Genomic DNA, 27571 nt, shown 5'->3' on the forward strand with positions numbered 1-27571 from the left:
TGGAATAAAGTCAGGAGCTTGAAGGGATGGATGACACAGAGAAATTGAACAGGGAAAACCAAAGGAAACTCTAAGCAGGGAATGATTGTGTAGTTGAAGGAATTCTGAGTAATGCCAATGTCATGATGTGGTCCAGGAATGGATGGTGGAAATAGAACGGAGAGAAGGATTATCAGAGTTGAGGATGTCATGGAACTGACAGGGAGCATTGTTGGCTGGGTTGTCCACGGGACTGGTAAAGTTAAGCTCAAGTGTGTGTGTGTGTGTGTGTGTGTGTGTGTGCATGCACACATCCATGTGTGTAAAACATGGCAGCTCTGCATGTCCAAGCTTATAAAATAGGAGCTGCATGTATCATAAAGTTCAAAACACTGATATTATCTTCATAGAAATATTTTTCACTAAAACAAATGCCAACAAATATAATCATTACTACATATGTGTTCATTATGACAATATTGTGATATTATAACATGCAAAGTGAGAATTTTCAGAAATGGGAATGTTCTTTTTTGTTTGTTTGTTTGTTTTTTTTGAGACAGAGTCTCACTCTGTCACTGAGGCTGGAGTGCAGTGCCACAATGTTAGCTCACTGCAACCTCCACCTCCTGGGTTCAAGTGATTCTTGTGCCTCAGCCTCTTGAGTAGCTAGGATTACAGGTGTGCACCACTACGCCTGGCTAATTTTTGTATTTTTAGTAGAGATTGCGTTTCACCAGGTTGGTCTCGAACTCCTGGCCTCAAGTGATCTGCCCACCTTGGCTTCCCAAAGTGCTGGGATTATAGGCGTGAGCCACCATGCCCTACCAAAAATGGGAACATTCTCAAAAGTGTTTTTAAAGGCAGTGGTTCCATTTCTTTTGGTAAATATTTTCATAGACTTTCAATATAATTTTTAAAAAATCTCACAACATCGTGAATGTACTAAATGTTGCTAATGGTAAAGTTTACACTATATATATAGTAGTACAGTAAAAAATCCTCCCTTATCTACCCTAAGCAAATCATTTTGTTTTATAGCCCAGAAATTCTGAGGAGATTGATATAAGTACCAATTTCTGTTGTTTTTGTTCAATATTCAATTACAGCATATTAAATAAGTACGGGAAAGAGAGGAGTTTGGCCTTATTTTAAACGTAGTTTAAGTCAGCACACATTTATTGAACTTTCAGTAGATGCTAGGAATAGTGCTCAGCCTTGCATGGGCATCAGCAACAAACACCAAATAGTCCCTGTCCCCAGGAGCTCATAGTCTAGAGGTTAACAGAGGCATCAGCAAACATCTTTTATAAGCAAAAGATATATTTAATGATTTCAACATGGGCTCAGATTTTTTTGTTTGTTTTTTGTTTTTTTGTGTTTTTTTGGTCAGAGGAGAAGGTGGAGATTGAGATAATTTTGTTCTTTATTTCTAGAGGACTTTAAAAGAGGTAATCAAACAGTAACTTGTTTCACATCTAAATTAATAGGAGCATGAGAAATACTACAGCCACTACTTAAAGAGAGCTGCAGATAATTTTAGACGAAGTTTGTCACCCAATCCCCTTTTTTCTCCCTACCTATACCAATGTTCAAAGAAATGAGGGCAAATTTCTAAAATCAGAACAAACCGAAATTTGGACAGCTCTAGAGACAAATTGCAACATCCCTTCTCCCGAAAACCATTCTCAAATTTCAAATGGACTCAGCCTCAGGGTTTCATATGACTGCCTAATTTAGATCATTCTTTATCTCTTTGTTTTCTCCACTACCACAATCAAAGTGAAATGAACACCTGGGCTTATTGTTGTTTTGCCTTTTTACCTGGTCTTGAAGACTTTGTGCTGCCTTACTTTCAGTGAAACAGTCTGTGCTCCAAGAGAAACTAGAAAGGGCTGAATACAGATGCTTCAGCTTATTGAGGAGGAAACGGAGGACTTGACTTGCCCAAATTATCCCATCTTTTGATAGTGGAATTATGATGATAAGGCTCAGGCTGTCTGATCCCCATCACAGGCTACTCCAATAGCCTCTGCTTCCTGTCTTATTTGTTTTTTAAAAGTATTTTATATTGGTATATAGTAGTCGTACGTATTTTGGGGATCCACATGATAGTTTGATACCCTTATGCTATGTATAATGCTCTAATCAGGGTAATTGGGATATCCATTATCTCAAACATTTATCTTTTCTTTGTGTTGGGAGCATTACAGTTCTTGTAGCTCTTTTCAAATATACAATCGATTATTATTAACTATAATTACTGTACTGTCGAATACTAGAACTTATTCCTTCCACGTAACTGCATTTATGTATCCATTAAGCAACCTCTCTTCCTACTTCCACCCTGCTTGCCCTCACAGCCTTTGGTAACCACCATTCTTCCTTCTACCTCCATGAGAGCAACATTTTTAGCTCCCACATATAGGCGAGAATGTGAAATATTTGTCTTTCTGTGTCTCACTTGTGCCACTAACATAATCACCTCCAGTTCCATCCACGTTGCTGTAAATGACAGGATTTCATTCTTTTTTATGGCTGAATAATTTACTGTGTATATATCACATTGTTTTTATCTGTTCATCCTTTGATGGGCACTTAGGTTGATTCCATATTTTGGCTATTGTAAATAGTGCTGCAATAAACATGGGAATGTAGATATCTCTTAGATATACTGTTTTTTTTTTCTCTTGTATATATTCTCAGCAGTGGGATTCCTGGTTCATATGGTATTTGTATTTATAGATTTTGAGGAACCTCCATACTGTTTTCCACAATGGCTGTACTACTTTACATTCCCATTAACAGTGTATAAGACTTCTCCTTTCTCCATATCCTCACCAGCATTTCTTATGGTTTCTTTTTGATAATAGCCATTCTAACTAGCCTGTCTTATTTCTTATCCTTGTTCATGCTCGTGTTGGTGGTCATCTTAGTTTAACTCTGTTGATTTTTCACCCATACCTAGTAGCTTACCCACTCTTTTAAGACTCAGGGTGTCCTTTGGTTTTCAGGGCTCAAAGACCTCTAACTCAGTTTGGTAATTTATTGCTTGCACTTCTACTTGATAGAGATTTCATGGCTATGTTTTGTATATTAAGTCTCACAACAGAAAACAGATCCAAGCTACAATATTAAAGTGGGAAACTCAATATAATATAGATGATCCATGTTAATCAGAATAAATCTTACAGCCAAGTTCTTCATAAAGTGGATTTCTATTTATATTTCTTCATGGACTTCATTACAGTATCTGAGCTGGGTATCACTGCAATAAATTGAAGAAGCAGATTTTTACAAATCGCATTTTAGAAAAAGAATTATTGTGGTATTTTAATAAATGGGGTGAACTAGGTAGAAGGCAGCATTTAGAACTCCTGGGATAAGCATTACTTTTCCCATTAAAAGTTTTTACAGTTTACAGTTAAAAATAACAGTGAGATCACCCTCTCTCTTACCCTCTCTGAGACACTAAGGAGATATGCTACCTCCAAGTAGTTGTCTATTTTCCTCCATTTCATGCAATTACAAAGGTTTTTTGAATCTGACTGGAATGAGATCTGGGTTTGGATCCCCATTCTGCTATTGTCACCACAGGCAATATGTAACCTAAGTCTTAGTTTCTTTACCTGTGTGTTGAGGTAATGCCTACCATAGGGAGTTGTGAGACTGAGTATGACCCTAGAGCAGACTAACCAAGTCTGAAGACTTATGTATATAATCTATATCATGTTTTTTTTTTTTTTCCTAAATGGTAGCTTGGGTTTTATAGGATCGTAAGAAAGGAACCAGAATGTCCCTATGCTTTGAGAGACTCTTTTGTATTCTTTGTCTTGTTCAAAGTTTTATTACCCTTTTCAGACCACTAGTGTATCATTTAATGAAAAGCTTTTGAAATAAGTTCAAGGACTATAGTCTGGAATGTACATATGAATTATGACAAAAATAAAACTTATTATTTGGAATTTCTATGAACACACAACACAAAGTAAGAATGTGATCTGGAAATGACCCAGAGGACTCATTAAATAGTAACTAACCACTCTGACAACCTAGATCCCAAAGTAGAGTGCTTTTGGAGGGTGGAGCATCATTTGGTCAGTTTTATCAGTTTTTATAGTCAGTCCTTTCATATCCATGTCAATAAATCCTAGCATCTAATCAAGTTACATGTGATAGATACTCCCATCTTCTCTGCAGCCAACTTGTTACCCTCATCCCAACTATGCACATATTAAGTTACTGTCCCCCACCACATAGCTTTCCTGATTTTATATATCACAGACACAAAATATAATGAAGTATTATAAATTATTCTTAGGTAATGGATGAGTTATAAACTTCTTTTTAAAAAGTCTCAAAATTGTTTGCTCTGTGTATGTGTGTTTGTATATGTTTGTGTGTATGTGTGTATTCCTGCACCTAAAATGGATAGAGGGGCAAAATTCAACTTTTGAGCAACTGCCTATTTTTTGATGGTTCCTAGGTTTTCCATCCTTATGCTTTCCTTCATCCCTGAGGTTTTGCTGCAGCCAGTAGTCAGTGAACAATTTCCGGAGCTCTCTGGGGGCACTCCAGCCAATACAGCATGGCCCAGCAGGGGGATATCTGTTTCTCCCAAGGCTTGCCCACTGGCACAGCACCGGACCATGAAGCCCCTGAGCCTTGGTGCTCTTATTCCTTTGCTGGGGGACTCTGCTGGGGCAGCCCTCCTCTCTGAATTGCTTCACCTCTCAGGAAGTTACTTTGTTTGCAAAGAGGGCTACAGAAGCTGGTGTTCTAGATCTTTTGTCTGAAAGACACTGCCCTTAATTTGTCTTCATGAGGAGGGATGAATGTACACACTGTCATTATGATTCTTTTGTCAGTGGGGCCTTGGATGCATGGTGCACAGTGGTTAAGAGCGGGCTAGAATCAGCAAGGGCAGCATAGAGTGGTTAACAGTTTAGAAACTGTTTGAATCTTGATTTTCTTACTGTGTGACCTCTCTAAGCCTTCATCTCCCTAACAGTAAAACAGAAAAAATGAGGTTGCTGAGAGCATGTTAAATTGGTTAATATATGTCCATGCCAGGAAAAAAGTAGTTTTTAGCCATTGAATAATATTACTGCTGTAACAACACAGACATTCCTGAAAAGCCTTGTAACTGGTTTCCTATTTACCACACACATATGAGATAATTCACCAAATACAAATATGTACAGTAGCAGAATAACCTGCATTGTAAATGGCACATCAGCATGAGAAATCTACAAACCTACTTCTTAGTGTCAAAAATTTGGGGGAAAAAGAAGGCAGAGAAATTACAAACTCCTTCTCTACTCTTCACTTATTCTTCTTTCTTATCTTTAATGTCTTTCTTCATTTCTTCACTTCTGATTTTATTATCAAATTTTAGGAGTTACTGAGTTAATGCGTTATGTTTTCTTTAAGAGATAGCTCCTCTCTATCTCCATCAAATAGCATGAAATTTGAGGCTTGTGTACTATCAAATTGTTTGCATTATTTTTAATCCATGACATTGATGATAGCTATAATATAATCTCAGATTCCTGATTCCTGCTTGTATTTTGTTTAAACTCTACTGCCTATTTAATATCTGACACTGCTAAGCATTTTGCTGGCTTACAGAATATCATTTTTCATGCTAATAACTTTAATGAAAATATCAGACAAATATATAAATCATTATATGTGAAATAGAAGAGTCAGCACAGACTTAAATACACTAATTTGCTAACCATGTTTAGATATTATTATTTTCAAATACTGGTGATATTTGAGTAAATATTTTGATATTCACTCTCATTATACGGTTATGATTTCTTTCAAGTATATTATTTGAAATTATTTTATTTTCATGTGTGAGTATGTGTGTGTACTTATTATATTCCAGTTCCACCCCTGTTCTTGCAGCACACATGGCTGATTGCATAATCATATCAATAGAAAAAATATGATTCCCTTAGCCCTAATAGATGCTGTACCAAACAGTGACAGTCCACCTGTCTCAAGAAAGAGACAAACTTATAAGATGCTGACTGTTCCATTTAAGCATTGCCATGCTCATCAGATAACTGGCTGCAAAAATGAATACTGCATTATTAAAGAGAAGAGAGGAATAGACTGGAGCAAATGCCATGGTTTTTAGTGACTTTCTTTTTCTTCAGACATAAATAGAATCACAGAGGTAAGCCTCTGCTCTAATTAATTCTCTCCTTGGTTACACTGTGAGCCTTCCCTTCACTGCCCTCATCAGAACCACCTGAAGGGAATAACTAATAAGAGTTCATCTGTCATCCTTTGTACATGATAAAATTCAGACTGCTTAGAAATCAAAGGTGCCAAGTTATGCCCACCTGCAAAGAAATCATAATAGAGAATATTTATGTAGCTTTCTCGACTGCATGATTTTTTCACATTACCTTACAGAGGTCAGGAAGCTGATTCTGCTGTCCTAAATTTAAACTACAGAAGGTAGGGTATGTTTTAATGACCCTTCAGCTGGGCACAAATTAGACACGCCAGCAGAGGGCGAGCATTAGCCATAAGAAAGGCTGAGGTTTACATTATGGTTTATAGAGGCAAACTCTCCCCCACTTACACTCACACAATTATTTTGGGGGCCTTATTTTAAAAGGTTTCTGTTACATGAAGACCCTCAACTTCTGTCTTCACAGCCTACCAAACTTATACTGAGACTTTTGTTATAAAAACATTTTCAGGTTTAGGGAAGACAGACTGTCACAATGAAATTCATTAAGCTTTGAAATAAATCAAGCCTGCCTGGGTTTGAACCCTTGGAAGTTGTGTGACCTGAAGCAAATTTCTTGACTTCTCTGAGCTTCAGTTTCCTCATTAGTAAAATAGAGATGAAAAGGGTACCTGCCTCATTGTGTTGTTGAGATACCCATATGGGACAATACACGTGTAAAGGATTTAGCTCAGTATCAGCCACAGGGTGAAATTCTGATAAGTATTATCTATCGTTAATTCTCAGTACAAATCCTGGGAAACAGTAGACACTGAAAAATAATAATAATGTGTATAAGAGGAGCCCTGCTAAGAGTGGATTTGGGAAGGCTTGTTAAAGATGAGTCTGCAGAACTGAAGGATGAGATGCTCAAGGAAGACATGCATATTTCATTAAGAAGAGGTGAAACCTACAAGAGTGAGGAACCAATGGCTGACATTCATGGTTCACAAACTTAAAATGACTAAGAAATTATCAGGGGAATTGAGTGCTGCACATGGAAATGGAAATAAAACAGGCTGGATGGTTTTATATCCAGAAACATAATTTAGTCAAGCAATTGTGTCAGGATAGAGGGATTTTCTACATCTATTTTAGCACCCAAGTTCTTTCTGGCAGGATTTGGGGAAGAACACATATTTTGGAATTTGGCAAATCACAAACAGGCCCATCTGTCTGGAAAGAAATGGTCTTTACCCATTTTTTTTTTCCAGCTTGAAACATGAAAGATGTGATTCTAGAAGCAAAAATGGGTTACAATTTTAGGAAATAAAATCAGTAAGGACCAACATCTTTACAGAGTAGGAGTACTGACAAATCTCATGGGAAGAACTATATCTACCTTTTCATTCTAAATGGTGTATGCAGGGGCTACTAAATCAAACAGCTTGACTAAGTGGGTTTGAAAGAGAATTAACAATTTTGCAGAGATGTTCATCTACTTGCTGAAAAGAGTTGGTATGATTGATCTGTCTCCCTAAATCCTGAATACTGTATGGAAGTAGGCTCTTAAATCTAAGAATTACACTTAGTACAAACACTATATTTTTACAGCTACTTGCACAGAGCTATCCCTATGGGTGTCAACCAAAAGTAGATAAAATGGTCTTTCTTCAAATAATTACTGGGTAGCCAATATTTTTCTATACTCTAAGGACATGTAATATACCTCTATAAGGTGAAATATTAGGTTGTAATGGCAAAAACTGCAATTACTTTTGCACCAACCTAATAAATTCTAAAGAGATGTTCAGGTATTCTTCTGTGGTATTTAAATACACATCTAAATAAAACAGGCCTTAGTACCTACCCGAGCCAGAAATCTATCCATGAAACAAAGACTATTAAAGATGATATATGAAATGCCACATTTAAAAAACACTCCAAGTAATGTTTTAAAAATAGCATGTCATCTAAAGCCAGATGAAGATTTGAAAACACACAAGACAATTTAGAATCTTTTGGCACTTTGGAGGATCTGACAGCAGCTAGTGTCGCTGGAGGGAAGAGGTAGCACATCTCGAAGCCACGTTAGCCACAGTCATACATGTACATTACATGTATACTAACAAGACATAGCCTGCCCCAAGATACACATCTTTTAGGTAAGAAAATACAATTGTTCAGAAAAACAATGTTAATGATTCTATAAGTTTTCTTCTCTGATTATACTAATAAGTCCAAAACAAGTTTTTATTTATAATAGTTTAGAAACATTTGGTGCATTACACTCACACAGGCAACACAGCACAAAATAACTGGTTCCTTCACAATGTATTAGGCATAAGACGATGTGAACTATGTTTTATTATGTAAAATTTTTAATGTAAAAAGTAGGCAAATTATTATAATGAACACTTACGTGCCTATCAACTGGTTTCAGTGATTATCAACCCATGACCCTTCAATCATTTATAACCCTCTCTTCCCCTCCTCAGCTCGTATTAATTTCAAATCTCATACATCATATCATTTTACCCTTAAACATTTGAACTCTTTTTAAACACAGCCTTCAGTACAATTACTTCATATATTCACAATGATTCTCTAATACTGAATATCAATTTGGATGTTTAAATTTACAATTATCTCACAAAGAGCTCTCTCCTTTTAATCAGAATCCAAATAATATTTAAATGTTGAATTTATTTATGTCCTTTCAGTGCACTTTCTTTTTTTTCCCTTATTTATTTATTTATTTATTTATTTATTTATTATTATTATTATACTTTAAGTTTTAGGGTACATGTGCACAATGTGCATGTTAGTTACATATGTATACATGTGCCATGTTGGTGTGCTGCACCCACTAACTCGTCATCTAGCATTAGGTATATCTCCCAATGCTATCCCTCCCCACTCCCCCTACCCCACAACAGTCCCCAGAGTGTGATGTTCTCCTTCCTGTGTCCATGTGTTCTCATTGTTCAATTCCCACCTATGAGTGAGAATATGCGGTGTTTGGTTTTCTGTTCTTGTGATAGTTTACTGAGAATGATGATTTCCAATTTCATCCATGTCCCTACAAAGGACATGAACTCATCACTTTTTATGGCTGCATAGTATTCCATGGTGTATATGTGCCACATTTTCTTAATCCAGTCTATCATTGTTGGACATTTGGGTTGGTTCCAAGTCTTTGCTATTGTGAATAATGCCACAGATTCAGTGCACTTTTATCTATAGGTTTCCCCGTGTCTCTCATTCTCCTTTTTTTATTCTTCTGAAATGTATTTGTTAAAGAAATTAAGTGGGTCATTCATAAAAGTCTCATATTCTAGATTTTGCTGATCATATTCATGTGGCATAGTTGACATATTCTTCTATTTATATTTTCTATAAGTCAGTAGTTGAACCTACTGGCTTGATTAAATTCAGGTTCAGTTTTCTTGGGCAAGACTGTTTTATTGATGGTTGTATCTTTTTCTATAACAAGGCACCTGATATCCAGCTGTCTCTCTTTTTGTGATGTAAACAACTATCAATGCTGAGTGTTAGCACTATTTTATGCCAACATTTTTCCATTTGTTTTGATTACCTGAAGCCCTTTTTATAGTCTATTCCTCAAGGAGATATCACAAGAATAATATTCCTTGAGTTTTTAAATGTTTATAGCAGATTATACTCTTTATCCTTGAAGGTGAGTTTGTTTGTGTTGGATGAATGTGTTGAATATCACATTTATGGTTCATATTTTCTTTACTTACTTTATTTTTTTTAACTTCATTGCCTGTTGGCATAAAATTTGCCAAAATTCTGAAGACAGTTTATTTTTTCCTTATGAATGACTTAATCTTTTTTTTTGTCTGGATATCCAAATAATTTACTAGAGTATATCCTGGCATTGCTCTTTATAGATTGATTTTTCTCAGGCATGCGGTATGCCCTCTCAAAACAACATATCTCAATTTTTTTGTTTTACATTTTAGTAAGCTTCCTTTGAATTTAAGTTTTTACTATCTTATTTTCTTCTTTGGGGAAGGGGTTCATGGGTTCATATTATATCTATGTTAGATTTTCTTTTCTTAGCTTCTATAGTTGTCATTTTATCTTGAATTCTTTTTACATACCTTTATTTAAAGCATAATTCATTTTACTTATTTTCCCAAGGTAGTAATACCAGTTGTGTTTATATCCTCTGCATTCTTTCACTTCTAAAATAATATTGCTTCTATTTCTAATTCTTTCCTGATCTGTGTACCCTCACCTCTAGTTTTTCCAATACGAATTTGTTACCTTTTCCTATCTTGTATCATTTTAATAAACATTTTGAACTTATATGAACTATGAACTATTAGGTTACGGTTTATGTTTTGTGAGCCTGTCTTTATGTCATGTTTTCATTTTCTGAGGGGATATCATTATGCTTCATATACTCATTTTTTTTCCTGTAGCAACTTTGTATGGATTTTGAATGTGTTTTTGCTACTTACTTTTTTATAAAATGAGTTTTTAAGAGCACAATTTTTTTTTTGTTGTTTTGTTTTGTTTTGTTTTTTTTCGAATCGTCATGAGTTGAAGTATGTACCTGCTGTTCTCAAGTGACCCACTGTGCTTTCAAGTGAGTACCTTTGTTTATTTGGGGCTTTACCTGTTCTCAAGTCCTTTACATTCCTTATTGCTTTCTTCTATTTCCTCTCATACAAAAGCAGACACCAGAAGGATTTTATATCTTTGTTTGTCCCCACTTGCTTATATTTTGTGTTCATAAGAATATCCTCTCAAGGACTTTTATTTGTTATCTGGATTTTTGCTTTGCTATCCTAGTTACTCTCTCTAGTTTCAAGAGATGTTTCCTTGAACTATTCTTAAAGAACAGCTCACCATGTGATTAAGGTGGTGGCAGAAGGGAAGGGGAAGTGTAAGTTACATTGAGCTCTTTTGCTTTAGTGAAGTATTTGCCAAATGGAGATAAATAACTAGAGTTGGCACAAGCCAATTTGTTGAAATTCGTTTGGTGGTTTCATATAGATAGTAAAATATGAAACAGTGCCAACTGTGATGCTTTGTTTTTAAAAAATGTATCTGTAGATTCTGTAGTCTTTGTTCTCAAATAGGTGGCTTCATTTTTTTTTCAGTTATCTGTAGATCTCAAAATATTTTGTATCTTTAGCTTGTAGAAACTACTCAGTACCAATTACATACCTGGAATTGATCTGTACTCTGTGTACAATGGAGAATGTCTCTGATGGTAAAGAAGTGTTATTGTTCTGATGGTAAAGTGTTATTGTTCTCATGGTTTTGCAGACTTGAGGACTGGAGTCTGGATACTAAGAGAAAAATTGTCCTTGTACCTGAGGATGAAGGGAAAGGTGATCCAACTCAATGATTATCAAAAGCATAATTTAGACAGGAGATAAGAGACTGCATTATGCAGTATTACTGAAGCTCATTTCCCTAGGCAACCCCCGTGGGTTCAGATTGCTCCTGTGTGAACTAGTTCTTAAATGAATTTTAAAATGCAGTTCACAGTTGTTCTTAGTGAATTAGGCAGGGGACCTGGCTATTGGAAGGCTTCTATCAATCCAAGAGTAAGATACTATTAAGAACCACAGAAATATAGAATGTATCAAACACTTACAATGAGGAAGAACCCAGAGAAGATGGTGGAGTTAAGCAGATATACCCAGTATATTGGGTGACAAAGGAAAGGGGGTTCTTAGTATATTCACTGAAATTCCATAGAAGGAGCTTAGAAAGAGAAGCCCCAGAAAAGGTATTCTGGTATTTCCTCAGCCAGGAAGCTGAGGAAAGATCCTAAATCCCAGGGTCTCACAAGGTCCTGCGTTTGGATCTCTCCATGAAAAAATAGGAGTCAGCCTTCCTTTTGTTTGTAATTTGAGTTTGAGAAAGGATCTAAATTTCTTATCTCTTTGAGCTTTATAGCAAGAATCAAAAGCTGATGGCCAGCAAACTGGAAAGAGTCCAGTTTTTGTTTTCATTCAGATTGTTTTAAACATTGCAAAGATTTACACAACATTCTGTATTTCTGCTCTATTTTGAAAACCAGCAGATTTAATTGTCTTGTGCTCCTCTCATTAGGCAACTGTTGTTCTAGAGAGGGCAGGTACTCTGCAGTTTCCTACAATCCCCACAATCCCTATCTTTTTGAATTTTATCACGCTCGACTGACTTAATCCAGTGACATAACCTTCCTTACTATTAAAGTATTTGTGTTTGCACCTCTGTTTTATAGGATAAAGAGAATAATTACATTCCAAATGCCTGGGTTGAGTTTTCATTCCAGAATCTCTGGAGTTCAGAGATCTATCCACAGATAGTAGAAGGCACAGCAGGGGAAAGTGATTGCACATTGATAAAGAAGAGAATCAGGGCAAGATAACTGACTATTGAAAATATGTCTAAAAGAGACAAGAGTAGGGAGGGAGAGTATTTGAGAAAGATGAAACACCACAGGGCAGCCCTGGTCATGCTCTAAGATGCTCAGGGTGGAGAGAGTTGCAGCATTCTATCCTCTAACTCAAGCAGGAATTTGATAAATTATTTTTGAATGTTAATACATAGCCTGATGCCTCCTTCAGATAGCAATTTAAAAATTGTTGTAAACACACATAATACATTTTGGGAGGCTGAGGCAGGAGGATTTCTTAAGGGCAGGGGTTTGAGGCCAGCCTGGTCAATATAGTGAGACCCTGTCTCTATAAAAAATTTTTAAAAAAATAGCCAGGCATGGTGGCACACACCTGTAGTCCCAGCTATTCAGGATGCTGAGGCAGGAGGGTTGCTTGAGCATAAGAGTTAGAGGCTGCAGTGGGCCATGATTGTGCTATTGCACTCCAGCCTGGGCATCAGGTAAGGTGCTGTCTCAAAAAAAAAAAAAAAAAAAAATCGAACGAACAAACAAAATCCCATACACTTAACATAAAATTTACCATCTTAAACATTTTTAAGTGCACAGTGTTAAGTATATTGACATTGTTGTGGGACAGATCTCTAGAACTTTTTCATTTTTTAAAACTGAAATTCTATACCCATTACCTGACTTTCTGTTTTCCCCCTCCCCTTGCTCCTGACAACCACTCTTCTGCCTTCTGTTTCTGAGTTTACTACTTTAGATATCTAAAATAACTAGAATCATATAGTATGTTTTTGTTTGTTTGTTTTATGACTGGCATATCTCACTTAGCATAATGTGCTCACAGTTCATTCATACTATAGCTTGTGACAAGTTTTCCTTTTTTTTTTTTTGTGAGACAGAGTTTCACTCTTGTTGCCCAGACTGGAGTTCAGTGGTGTGATCTTGGCTCACTCCTCACTCCAACCTTTGCTCCAACCTTTGCCTCCCCGGTTCAAGCAATTCTCCTGCCTCAGCCTCCCAAGGAGCTGGGATTAAAGGCATGCACCGCCACTCCTGGCTAATTTTTTGTATTTAGTAGAGACAGGGTTTTACCATGTTGGTTAGGCTGGTCTCAAACTCCTTATCTCAGGTGATCCACCCGCCTCAGCTTCCCAAAGTGCTGGGATTACAGGCATGAGCCACTGAACTCTGCCATTTTCTTTCCTTTTTAAGGCTGAAAAATATTCCGTTGTATATAAATACTGTATTTTCTTTACCCACTCATCCATTGATGGGCATTTGAGTCCTTCTACCTCTTGGCTATTGTGAATAATATGGCATTGAGTACAGTTATGCAAATACATCTTTGAGATCCTACTTTGGATGGAGCTGGAAGCCATTATCCTCCACAAACTAATGCAGAAACAGAAAACCAAATACCACATGTTCTTACTTATAAGTGGGAGCTGAACGATGAGAACAGATGGACACATGGGGGGAAACAACACACACTGGGTCCTGTTTGGGGGATGCAGAGGGAGGGAGAGCATCAGGAAGAAAAGCTGAGGGATACTGGGCTTAATACTTACGTGTTGCGTTGATCTGTGCAGCAACCACCATGGCACATGTTGACCTATATAATAAACCTGCATACCCCACACATGGATGCTGGAACTTAAAAGTTGATTAAAAAATAATAATTCTTTTGGATATATACCCAGAAATGAAATTGCTGGATCGTATGTTTATTCTATTTTTGAATTTTTGAGGAACTTTTCTACTGTTTTGCATAGTAGCTACACCATTTTTCATTTCCACCAACAGTGAACACAGGCTTCAATTTCTCCACATCTTGCCAATACTTATTTTCTCTTTGTGTGTGTTTTATAATGGCTACTCTAATGGGTGTGAAGTAATATCGTGGTTTTGATACGCATTTCTCTAATGATTAGTGATGTTGAGCATAATTTCATATTCTCATTGGGCATTTGTATATCTTCTTTTGAGAAATGTCTATTCAAGTTGGCAAACCACACAATGGATAAATGACAGCCTCTTCAACAAATAATGTTGAGAAAACTGGATATGCTCCTGCAAATGAGTGACATTGGATGCTTACGTTACACCATGTACAAAAATTAACTAAAAAATGGATTATAGTTTACAATGTAAAATATAAAACTATAAAACCCCTAGAAGAAAACATCAGGGAAGAGCTTCAAGACTTTCTCAGTGATTTGTTAAATATGACAGTAGAAGCACAGGCAACAAAAGCAAAAGTAGACCAATTAGACATCAAACTTAGAAACTTCAGTATGATGAAGGAAACAGCAAAATGAATAGGTAACTAACAGAATGGGAGAAAATATTTGCAGGAAGAAAATAAAAATGGAAGTATTTTTATTTTTTAGTATAGGATGATTCATTAAAGTCTCTACTAGCTGTTGGAATTTCAGTGTTATAAGAGGGCAATATTTTAGAGTAGAAGATCTTTCTGGAGTTTTAAAAAGTATACTTTCTTTTAAGAAATATATCTGGAAACTGGAAAATTCATCTATATGAGAAAGATTTTATTATCTCCCTTTTAATTCTTACTATGATCCTATCAGATACTGTTCCCTTCTAGCATTTCCAGAGGTAAGTATCTCTTCCTCTAGCACCTATTTATAAAATGACAATGATGGTGTTGATAAAAGGAACAGCTGATACTGTCAAGTACTTTAAATTTTTAAGTCATTTGGTTTTTACAACAAAAACATGAATAGGTAACACTCTTTATTTTCCTTCATTTTATAGATGACTCATAAATCAAAATTACCAACTGCAAAAATACCAGTTAGAATTATTTTTAAATGACTATGGGTTCATTGTCTTGACTTCCTTTTCCTCCCATGTGATATATTTTATTAATTTGTGATTTAGCTTTTGGTACTTTATAGAGCTTTCTCTCAATAGAGATTGACAAAGTAACCAAAGAGTTTGCTGAAGGAGAGAGAAAAAACGGCAAAGACCTGGACAGTGAAGGGTTCTGAAGAAAACATTACTTAGCTCACAGCTGACCTAGAGTCAACCCTTCCGATGCTTATAAGAGCTTCTTTTTCCCTGGCCCTAAACCAGAAATTAGGGTTTTGTTTTAGCTTTTGCCCTTCTGGGCTCTACAGAACATGTGGACGTGCTCTTTGGAGATAACAACTAGGAAACGGGAGAATCTGAAACCCTGTAAAAAGAAAGGATGCTATGTCCAATCATATTAAATAAAGTGCTCTATGTGGATCTATTTTGATACAAATATTTTAGACCATTTCAAAGAAATATGTTCTTGACTTGCTTCACATTTTATACACATAGTAGGCAGTTAGGTGGAAAGGTCTTTCAGTATGATTCTTGGTTATAACAAGAAATTGGGTAATTAAAATATCTCTAGTACCAAATATAGTTTCTAAAAACCTGTTAGACAAAGGACATCGCCACAAAATTTTGAATCCATGCAGTTTGTGGTCAATAATAATTCTCACCCAGTCATCAGGAAGCTTCTGTCACGGTTATTTTCACTGCTCTTGGGGTCATCAGTGCATATTGAATAACTCCTGAATGATTGGCATGTGATGTTATTCACATTTGTACTCTAGCCTTCAAAAAAAGGAAAGGAAGTCATTGTTGTTTTCTTGGAAGAAAAACCCAATGATCATTTATCACTGTGTACATACGTATTTAAGACATTCATCCTTTCCAATATTGAACAAGATTGCTCAATATATACATCAACTTTATTGTCAAGCATGGAAAAATGTCTAATGTACATAAGACATTTAGTGAGAATATGAATTATTAAGATTATAGTTTTCATTTTTGTCAAGCCAAATTGAAATTTGCATTTGGAAATCTGTAAAGAATAGAAAAGGAAAAAAGAAATAGACATATTGAACACATACAGAAAACTGAGGCTCAGGGAGATTACATAAATAGCATATGGCCATACAGGTGGAAAGTAGTGGAACTCTGAATCAAAGAATGGCTCTTTGGTATTCTAAAACTTATTAAGAATTTTAAAACATTTACTCCTCTGGAAACGTCGCCATTATGAATGGAGGGCAGATTATAGTAGAAAATGACAATATTTGGTAAGAAGTTTAATATATTGATTATTGCTAGCTAATATTTATTGAGTACCTACTACATAATAAGTATATACTATCTAAGTTGCTTTACATGGATTATCTCATTTGATTCATCAGCAAGAGTATAAATAGAAATTACATTTATACCTATTTTGCAGATAAAGCAAGCTTAGAAATGTTAAGAAACTTTACTAAAGTCAGAAAAATAGTACTTGCTAAAGCCCAAATTGGAAACCAGGCACCCTGATTTCAGAGTCTGAGCTCTTCAATGCTGTGCCATATCACTAAATCAGTTTCCTGAATCAACAAAATTAAAAAAAAAAATCCAAAAAGTGGAAAAAAAATTTTTACTTGAGGTCATCCAAATGCTGTGTCTTTTAAAAAATTTAGAACCTCTTTAAAAGTCCCTTCATCTGATGATTTGCTGGAATACAGTGCTGACACATTTTTAATTTTACTGAAGGAAATAAAAAATGAACAACAGAATGAAAGTATAGATGCCGTCCCACCAAACAGCATTCAACATCAAATGATATCTATCCAAAGTCTAACAATCATTACCCAAGCAGAAATATTCTAAAAAAGTGTCTGCTTGAATAATTTACTCCATTTAATTATTAATTTTTTTCAAAAAATTACAGATTGTGCCATTTATTATGCTTGTATAAGTAAATACTTGTCTGCTTTACAGGGGAACCAGTTTTGAAGTAGACGTTCAAGGCCTGATTTTTAATCCAGTCTTAACCACTTACTAGTTCTGTACAACCAGATAAGTCTTGCAAGACTTTGAGCCTGTTTCATCATTACAATATGGGAACCATATAATACTACTATAATGTTTTGCAAGTTTTTAAAGATAAGTATCAAATAAGAAAATGTATGTAATAACACTTTTAAGGGTGTTAAGTTTTAGACACTATTATTGTGTTACTGACTCACTATTGTTGGAATATATAGTTAGAAGGTTTGTTCTGGCACAAATTTGTGAGACAGCTGGTGAGAACTAAGGGCACCATTTGGACCAAGAAATAGAACAAAGCTAATTGGCTACACAGGGACTCAACCCGTGTCCTTAGCCTCATTAACTCTGTGCTTTACTAAGCAAGCACACTATTATTCACTCACTCATCAACCTACCTTTTATGAGTCTAGCCTTCAGCTGGGCATTGGTGATATAAAAATGAATGAACCATGGTCTCTGCCCTCAAGGAGCTCGCAGTCCAGCAAGGAAAATCAGGCAGATGAGTAAAATAGTAGTTAGCATACTGTATAATAAATCAGTGCCACAACAGAGATTTATGAAAGCGCTTAGAAGGCACTGCCAATACTGACTGGAGAAGTACAGCATCCATATCTTGTGACAGAATTTGTTGAGCCTAAAATTTTACTTCTTAAATCACTTAGATGCATTTAAATCCCACAGTTGAAAAATAATCTCATTCCTCAGTTGGAAAAGTCAAAAGCACTTTTTTTTTTTTTTCATTTAAACAATGAACATTTATTATCTCACAGTTCCTGTGGGCCAGAAATTCGAGAATAGCTTACCTGGGTTTTTCTGCCTCAGGGTTTCTCATGTGGTTGCATTTAGCATGTCAGCAGTGGTTGCAGTCATTTGAAAGCTTGAACATGGTTAGAGGGTCAGCTTCTAAAATGGCTCATTCGCATGCCTGTTGGCAGGAGGTCACAGTTTGTGTCTGGCTGTTGGCAGGAGTCCTTAGTTCCTTGCCACGTGGACTTCCCCCTAGGCTGCTTGAGTATCCTCATGACATGGCAACTAACTTCCTCCAGAGTGAGCAAACCAGAGTGGGCAAACAGGAAGTGGCAGTACCTTATGTGGCCTAGTCTCTAAAGTTACATACTGTCAATTCTACTCAAAAGTGCCATTTTAAAGTGACCCATACTTTAATGGAAAGCTTTAATTTAAGAACAGAACTTAACGTGTGTTTTACTACCATGTAATCTATGCTAGGCACATCTTTCCAAATTGCATAAGATGGTTTATTTCCAAATAGTCGTTCTCCTATACATTATTTACTTATATAGAGCTAGAAATGCCAACTTGCTGTTTTAAACATAATCATATTTTTCTCCGTAATTATCTGGACAACTAATCCATTTTGCCAATCCATTTGCATGGAAACAGAGAGCCAATGATTGGTCAGAGTATTGTTTTTTAAAAAATATAATAGTGAGGTTCAATGGTTGGTTACCAATTCCCTAAAATAAAGATCGAGGTTTTCTAAAACACTGAAAACACAATTCCATGCACACAGGATTGGTTTATGCTTTTTCAAGGATTCCTCTATTGCTTAAAGCCAGATATACAGGCCATGACACAATTCTACAAGAATGACCCCTTTACTTGATTCTTTTGGTTTAGTCAAGCTTCACTACTACTGTACTAAAAAATAAGCAGTGACCCAGGTTCCTTGCTTTTCTTCCACCTGAACCATAAATGAGACAAATGATCTGGCTCAGCTTATGTCTTGGGGTATGAGAGGTGAATGGTACCCTAGAGGTTTTATTCTTTCTGAAATGACTGCTGAAGCATTTGGAGGAGAAATGATCTTATTATTTAATCCAACCATCTATAAGTTTTGAGGCATGTACCTATGGATGGGGTGAGTGTATAAATAGAAATTACTTCTTATCCTGTGTTGTTTAATGTTATTAATTCAAGACTTTGAAAAGCTCCGTAGAAACAGAATGCATCTTACTGATAAGAATGTGGCTCTTACTGTTGAAATCTCATCGTTGTAATTACACATTATTCAAATCAGGTACTCAGTAGTGAAAACTACTCGTCAAAAGCCAAAACATTTCTACTAGGGATTTTGATGTCCCTGCAGGTCAATAAAGTCATAAAGCTCTGTCACTCTAACGGCAACATATTTTATTAGCAGCCAGAGTCCCTCACATACATGTTTCCTGCCACTTTCAGAGATGTAAACAATTTCCATTTTGAAATATATGACCAGAATCCTGATTATTAGAGCTTAGCACTGCATTCATTAAAACACACATGCTGGCATCGAAGCATTCATGAAACATTATTTCTTCTTTCCAATAAAAACTAATGATTACCACCCCTGGTGTGATTCATTTCCTCTACGAGAATATTTGAATTAGAGCAATATTTTCAAACTTTTCATGGCACTACATACATGGTGTTTTTTTTTCTTCTTTCTCTCTCTCTCTCTCTCTCTTTTTTTTTTTTTTTTTTCAGTCTTGCTCTGTCGCCCAGGCTGGAGTGCAATGGCGCGATCTTGGCTCACTACAACCTCCGCCTTCCAGGTTCAAGTGATTCTACTGCCTCAGCCTCCTGAGTAGCTGGGATTACAGGCACCCGCCACCAAGTCTGGCTAATTTTCCTACATACATGTTTTATAGACCGCTCATGGTTAGAATCATCTTTCATTTATTTCCTTCTGTAGGTTTAAACATTTACATCACTGACATTAAATCCAAATTTACTGAAGACGTATGCACATTTACCTTATTCTGGGTGCTAGGGTCTCTCAGCTGACCACAGCTTCTGTACTTTGCAGTGGTTATTTCACACCAAAAAGTGAAAACAGATTCAGTGAATAGGTGTTCTTTTCTCTATGTATTAAAACACGTTCTTCAAAATAGTGTATTGGCTAGCATGAGTTTTTCTGTATAAAAAAGTCAAGTTTCGCCCTATCAGGTGCTTCTAGGTCTAACCGGTTTTCCTGTGCTACTCTCCAGTGTTACAGCCGGGGGCAGCAGAGCTTTGTCCTGCCTGCCACTCCCGTGATGAGTGAAGGCAGGAATAAGACTGCCCTGGTACTTGCCCCTGATGCAGATCATTAGACCTTGAGCAGCTGCTCAGGTCCATTAACAGTCACTTAAGCAGCGGGTAAGGGAAGCTGTGCTGCTCTGAATTAAAGGTGGGGCTGATAGCTGGGAATGGGGAGGGCTCAGCTGCTAGTACCCAACATATATATTGTGTCACATTTGGGGACACTTTTTTAAACATCATGGAGAGGTTATTTATTGGTTGTCACATACGGTAGGTGAAATGTTTTGCCACAAGTTTTGCCACAAAATGCTATATCCGGTTTAACTGTTTATTTTGATGGCAACTATTATTATTGAATATTTAGGTGGAGTCAATTCTAATGTCAGTCAAGACATATTCATCCCTCCATGTACTGAAAAATGCCATACAAATCTGTATATATGCTTCCTATACTGTTTAACCACAGCTGCTAGTTGACGTTCTTCAGTCCTGGAAATATCCTTCCATTTTCTAAAAAGCAAAGAAAAGTAAAATTTTAAGTAAGCAGTAGAGCAGATGTAGCTTAAAACCTCCAAATTATTTCAGGCCTCAAGCTGCTTTAAGGCTGTATTTTAAGATTCAGTACTTTTTTATTTGTTTCAACAGGAGGATTAGAGGATTGAAAATGCTTTATTGATGGAAAGTGGGAACTGTTACTCCCCCCACCTCCTCTACTCAGCAAAACTAAAAGAGAAAGCAAGTCCATTCAATTCCCAGCCAGATCTTTAAAATGTTAACATCAAATGAAAAGACATTATTCCTAAGTGAGAAGAAAAACCTTTGCATCACTGTAAGTTACCCATCATTTCCCACTTTGATTTATGCATGTGTCATTAATTGAAATTGTTCAGGAATCACCTTCAAATGGTTTTCCACAAAAATAAGAGGAAAAACCAACTGGGATGGGATATCAGTATCTCCTCTATTTAAATACAGGGTCCTGTTAGCTGCATTTGGTGGCTAATAGGGAATGATACTGTGTGCGGTATACTTTCATAATTCCAAGTACAGTCAAGTACATCTAAAACAGTCATTGTTGAATAACATGGGTAATTTAGTATTATCCACGCTATTCCACTGGCAGAATTGGCCATGACTGTCTCCTAGGTCATCATCCAGCGATAAAGGGAAGATAGGCTGAGGAAGCTCTGGCATTCAGGCGTCTCCCAGCGATGAAGCTGTGTCCCACACAGTTAGTTGTCAGTGCGGTGGTGAAGGCCACACCTGGCAGTGGCTACAGTGCGTCTCCTGTGAGCAGGGGCTGTAGCTCACCCTCTCGGAGCTACGCCGTGCTACGGCGGCAGGAGAGGGAGCCCGGGCGCTCTCGGTGGAGGAGGCTGGGGATCGCAGTGCCGGTGCTGCATTCAGAAAAGACTCAGCCGCAGCCGGCGATGTGTGAAGTTCCCAGCACGCACTCAGCCCGGCTGCTCCTCACCCTCAAATGTTGATGAGCCTGGGCGCTCCTCAACACACGGGAGAGATCCCATTTTGCTTTCTGGGAGAAAGAGATGAGAAATGAGCCGCGGAAGGTATTTGGCAATGAGAAGAGTGAAAGGCAGTTTCTTGCCAGCAGCTAAGTTGTAGAATTGCTTCGGAGGCTACCCGGGAGTGCGATAGAATTGACAAGAAAAGAACAGACACCGTTGCAGACCAAGGCATGCCTGATTGCACGAGTCGGATCCCTGGGACGCAGCTTCCACTCCTGTTCTAACTATTTGTGATTGAAAAAAGGAAACGAGACTAGAAACACAATTGCAAGTGGTGTTCCTAAAAGGAAAACACATACACTCCAAAAGGAGGGGAAGAACAACCCAGTTGGCGTGCACATTTTTTTTTAAAGGAGAATTCCTCAGGTATGTTCTTTCCTCCGTTGCACGCACTGCTTCATCTGCATGCGATTTTCTGTCTGTATTTTCCTGTCCCTTCTTTTTGTTTGCACTTGGAAATCACAACCATGGGGTTCTCTTAGCGTAGCAGATATATTTGTAAAATCTCGGCTCTCCTGTTTTTATAATGTACATGATTCTATGGAGCATCATGACTTCTCAGTCATTGCTTTTAAAAAAAGAATTCAGAATGATAAATGACTGCTTAGTTTCCAGTCAACTTTCAGGAGAATATCTACATAGGGACAAATAGGGTTGAGATGAAAGGCTGGGATATTCCATAACCCCTCGGAATTTTGGAAGAAAAAAATAGAGCTCAACAGAGAACAAAAGTTGAGGGCTTCTAGGAAAGGGTTAAAAGCCAAGATGTCATACACTAGTGTGTCACCCAAGTGTTTTTCCAGCTCAGCATCCAGTCTGAAGCAAAAGAAGCTTTACCAATGATTTTTTTATTTCTAGCTCTTCATCAGTTCTTCAAGAAGAAGATCCTGCAGATTTACTTTCAAGAGATGAATTGCTTAAATTGTGTGCTTGGTTCTGTTTTACAACTGTTCTGTGGTGCTCAAGGAGGCAGTCTAAAAAAATCCCTTTGGTCCAACAGCATGAGTAAACCCTAACTTCTGCAATTACATCATCAATATACTTGTATCATCAAGAGTAAGACAGATATACAACAATAGTAATGTTGGCTGTCTTTAGTACCTAGACGGAGATGACAACACTTAAAAATCAATTTTCCTCGTTAGGCTTTTAAGGAAAAACAGGAAAGAGGTTTGAGGGTGGGTAATGCTTATAAAGATTAGTTTTAAAATACTCTGCATTTCTTTAAGAAGCTAAAATTGTAAGTTTATATAATTTTGAAATTAATAAAAAACTTAATGATTTTTAGAAAATCATCTTACCACCTTTTGCTCATCAATACTTTTCATAAAAGTGGGTTAAATTGTCAATAAATTAAATGTGCATATGTCTATATTAAATGAGATTTTCTGGAGGGGAGAAACGAGAATGAGAAAGTACTACATTTTTGTATATATAAAATATTTAATAGATTTTTAGTGTTAACACAGAGTTAATGCCAAAGCTCTAGGACCCTGGCTTTTAATTATTGTTGTTCCCACTTTCTTATGATTAAAAAGTTCAAATGCAATAGAGGTAAGTGGGCTTTAAATTGTCATTTATGCATACTGTAAAGTAAATCACCACCCTGCTCTTTGAAAACTATAAACCTCATTTTTGCCAAATGGTAGCTATCTGGAGCACTTAGGCCGTAAACAAAATGAGGAAATCATTTGTTTTAAAATTCCACGCATGACTATAACAACAACAATGTCAAAATATGGTAAGTATAGGCAATTCTTGATACCAGAGGAGTGATTTAGAAAATGAGCAAAGTATTAAGTTTATGTTTGTTAGTAGGGAGTGAAAAACATTGTGTGTTTCTTCTATGTTGACATCTTGTATAAAGAAGCTTATGATGTCTGTAGGTGAAACACTATAGCAGTAATTTTACTGAATCCATTAAGTAATTTTTTAAACTAATAAACTGATCAAGGATCATCTAAAAGAATATTTGAAACTCTAATTTACAAAATTGTATTTTCAAACTATAATGGAATTTTGTTGAGAAAGTAATTTCAGTAGAATTGCCAATGTTTTTTCAGTAAAATTTGAAGGTGGATAGTAGGTAAGGGTTTATTTCCTAGCATTCAATAATTTGTTGTTAGACCTCCATTAAAGAAATCTGGAAACTCCTTCCAGAGATCATCATCACTATGTGCTAGGTAAATTCATGCCCAGGTGAAATACGAGGTAAAGTGTTAGCAAAGCCTAGAGAAATCACTTTTCATGGGCTTATTGTTAATAAAGTAAACTGTTTTCCTTTCCAGGCCATATAATAACTTGCTATGGTTGCTAATCTTTAAATGTGAAGCAATATAGTTTGTGGTGCACAGAACTAGTTGCTTAAGAGCCCATGGGTCATTGGAAACACAGGATAATTGCAGTGATTCCCCTTTTAAAGACAAAACACACCAAATGTATGTTGGGGCTTAGGTGGGGTTGGGAGGAAGGTCAGTGCAGAAGAGAACGTACTTCGTTGTCTGCTGATTTAGGGCAAACCTCTGTTTTTTGTAATATCAGACACTTTTGGTATGATAATATCTTTTCCCCGATTCTCCAGGCACTTTCATTTCTGTTAACCTTTTCAGCTAATGCAATGCATAAACCCTGCCATAACTTCTCTGAAGTATTATGCCACCTGTACGTTGTCTTCCAGTTTCAACATATATGTTTCTGTTATTCATTCTTTCCATCCCATAGTCTTTACTACGGAAAGGCATTCTCTAGAATTTTTGAAGACATTAGAATCATTTTGTCACCCAAGAAAAACAATCCTGCTTTGCATCTAGAAATTTTAAGAGTTTTAAATACATGCCAAGTTTGTTTCTGAAATACACTTTTATAGCTAGAAAGCCACTTTCTAAATAGGTCATAGTTTGTACCTAATATCAATTCATTTGGTAATATGCATTTAGAATAACTGTAGCAAAAAATTGCAAATTCAAAGTATCAAATTTGTATTTCTGTTGTTATTACAAATCCTTTCTGGATCTTAAGTTGTCTGTGGTTGGATCACTAGGCTCCAACTTTCTTCTAGCTTAAAAAAAAGGATTTATTAATAGCCCTCTCAATCTGTAGCTTTTGAGAATGCAAAAGACTGATCACCGGTTCTATAATCTCTACAGAGAAAATGGATGCCACAGCAGTATTTGTTTCACTTGTAGTCTTTTAAGGCATAGGAAGGGAGACAGGAATAAATATTCTAACCTCTAGGTCAAAAGTCCCCCAGAGGAGAAGTAGACAATAAGACACACTGAATCGTTTCTCCATCTCTTGTCAAAATGGTTGTGATGCAGTAGGCATAAATGTTTCCCATCTCTTTTATATCCTAGTCATATTGTATATTTTAGTCTCAGCATACAGAAATTAATTATAATCTTGATATGGAAGAGAGTTTTATATTATTCTTCCTATGTAAACAGTTAAGAAAATATTTTGTAGAAATAAATGCTAGATAGAAAGATAGGAACTCAACATTATAAATTGTACTCAGAGATTTCGAAGTATTTTTAAAAAGTAATCATAAAAGATGGGCTTCCCTTTCAAATATTTTCTTGTCTCCCTACATTTTCACAATCCCATCTTCAGCCTGTCTTTTGCTCCCAACAGCCAATTTTTGTTGGCCCAAATCCTGCGTTCAGGATAAAACATACTTTGTTTCTGAGCCTTCTGGTTCTTGAGAATCTGGGTGCAATATGTCTTTTTGATGGGGAAAAAGTGTTTTGCATGAAAATATTTTGCTTCATGTGTTTTATAAGTTGAAATTATTTACTCTAGAAGTAGCTTCTCGAAGCATGTAAAATATAAAAGAAAAAGAGCAGTGATTGGACAGAGTGGGTGGCTATTTCCTTTATAGGTGGGAAGAACTAATGGCTTAGGCACATTCCCTGAAGCACGTTTCTGAAAGGGGGCACTGATGATATGGTCTCAGAATAACTGGAGGAAGAAGGGTTGTATTTTGAATCATGTCATTGTTAAGTGGCACACAACTGAAAAAGTCTAAATAGTTGCTTTATTAATGAGAAATCTTAAGTAAAAATTACCAGTGAGATAAAGCTAGAGAATTAATGACACATTCCAACAAGAGTCCAGTGCTTTTTCCTGTCTCATAGAAAATACTGTAATTAATCAAATCCTAGCTCAGTCACCAATTGTCTGGGTGAACTTTGGCCATCATTTTCTTTGTAAGCCTTGGTTGTCTGTTGGACTGGTTAGATGTTCATGAAGATCGCTTCTAGTTCCTCAACTCAGAGATTCTATAAAAACTGCACTGTGCAGACTCTGTAGGCTTGACTCCATTTCAAATGTAGCTACAGAATTACTTGACTCTGACTTGCTTCTCCTGAGAGGCCAGAGGCTTGGTGAATAGCATTTGTCTACCTGATAAACTGAAGAAACAGTGTTCATGGTTTTAGAATTGAGTAAGAAATTTGTCAACTTGTTTTCCTTCAGACAACAAGGCAGAAGTATTGGCTTAATTATAATCCATGGAACTGCACATTTTGTATAAGGCTCTTTACTGTGACTCATTAAATATTTGCTGTAGCTGTGATAGATGTTGAAGTACTGCTACTTCGTTAACAAGAAACAAATAGCATTAGGATACTTAGCTGCTAACTTTTTAAGAGTCATTTGTGGAACAATGCTTTTAAAAGTAAAGAATATGTACCTACTGTACTTAGTTACTGGAATAGATTGACTCTCTCCAGTGCCTTCCTCTCTGGATTGGCACACTCAATGAGAATATGTTAGACAAAAGAGGGCTGCAGGGAGCTCTCGTGGCTGAAGGGGAAATTTAACTATGAAGCTTCTCAGACCTAAGGAAAATTTATATTTCCTTGTCACTTTCAAAGAAGGTTGATTGGTAGGAGGCAAAATATATGGATAACTTCATATATGTAAAAATTAATACTTGATTCTTTTTAGAAAATAATCCCTAAAATTAGAAGATTTTGCTTAATTACACAAAAACTTGCCACAGTATTACTGGAGAGTGGTTGAAGAGCATATTTTTTTAAATAATAAATATAATGCTTGATAAACAAATACAGCAAATTAAAAAAATTGCCTACCGTAATTGCTTTCATTCTCCATTTGGCCTTGAGTGGGAACATTCCTGATACTCTCTTTCTACTTTTTGTCTCGGTGACCTGAATTTCTTCAGTAGCCTCTGTTACCTCTTTGACAGGATTTCCACTAACATGTCTCAAAAGTCAAGAAATTCAGCTCTGGGTCTCTCAAGCAGCTCCTCTTCCTAATTGCTTCAGCTTCTCAGACCCAAATCTCAAATCATCCTCACTGCCTTATCCTTTCTCATGGTTCATATTCAGTTACTCTTGTTTTCTCTTTAACACTTGGTCTCCAGCCATGTCTTCTGTTATCTTCCTATTAACACTACCCTAGTTCAAGTTCTTATAACTTTACGCCTGGAATACTGCTTGAATCTTCCAATTGTTTTATCTGTATGATTCTTTTCTCTGAGCATCTGTTCTGCATACTACTGCCAAATTCATTGTCCTAAAAAATGCTTTGAACATGACATATGTCACTCCCTGATCAAAAATTTTCAAGGACACTATATTGCTTATAAACTAAAGCCTTAAATACTTAGTA

The 27571-nt window shown here is 36.4% G+C and overlaps 1 protein-coding gene and 1 long non-coding RNA gene across 7 annotated transcripts in view; one reads left to right on the forward strand and one right to left on the reverse strand.

The window, feature by feature from the left end:
* The window catches only part of UNC13C (unc-13 homolog C), a 795839-nt gene that overhangs the window by 119023 nt on the left and 649245 nt on the right, over window positions 1–27571 (forward strand). For 2 of the 6 annotated variants that reach the window (NM_001329919.2, NM_001080534.3), the window contains exon 1: window positions 21817–22303. The exons of the other annotated variants lie outside the window; for them this stretch is intronic. The gene's annotated coding sequence lies outside the window, so the exon portion shown is untranslated. Of the gene's footprint in view, window positions 1–21816; window positions 22304–27571 lie in introns of those variants that run through there. 6 annotated transcript variants of the gene reach the window in all.
* On the reverse strand, window positions 20726–27532 carry LOC124903495 (uncharacterized). The gene is made up of 2 exons (XR_007064646.1): window positions 27031–27532; window positions 20726–20921 (listed from the first exon to the last, which is right to left on the reverse strand). It is a non-coding gene; the product is annotated as an uncharacterized LOC124903495 (long non-coding RNA).

This window comes from Homo sapiens, chromosome 15, assembly GCF_000001405.40.
Source record: "Homo sapiens chromosome 15, GRCh38.p14 Primary Assembly".
Taxonomy (NCBI): domain Eukaryota; kingdom Metazoa; phylum Chordata; class Mammalia; order Primates; family Hominidae; genus Homo; species Homo sapiens.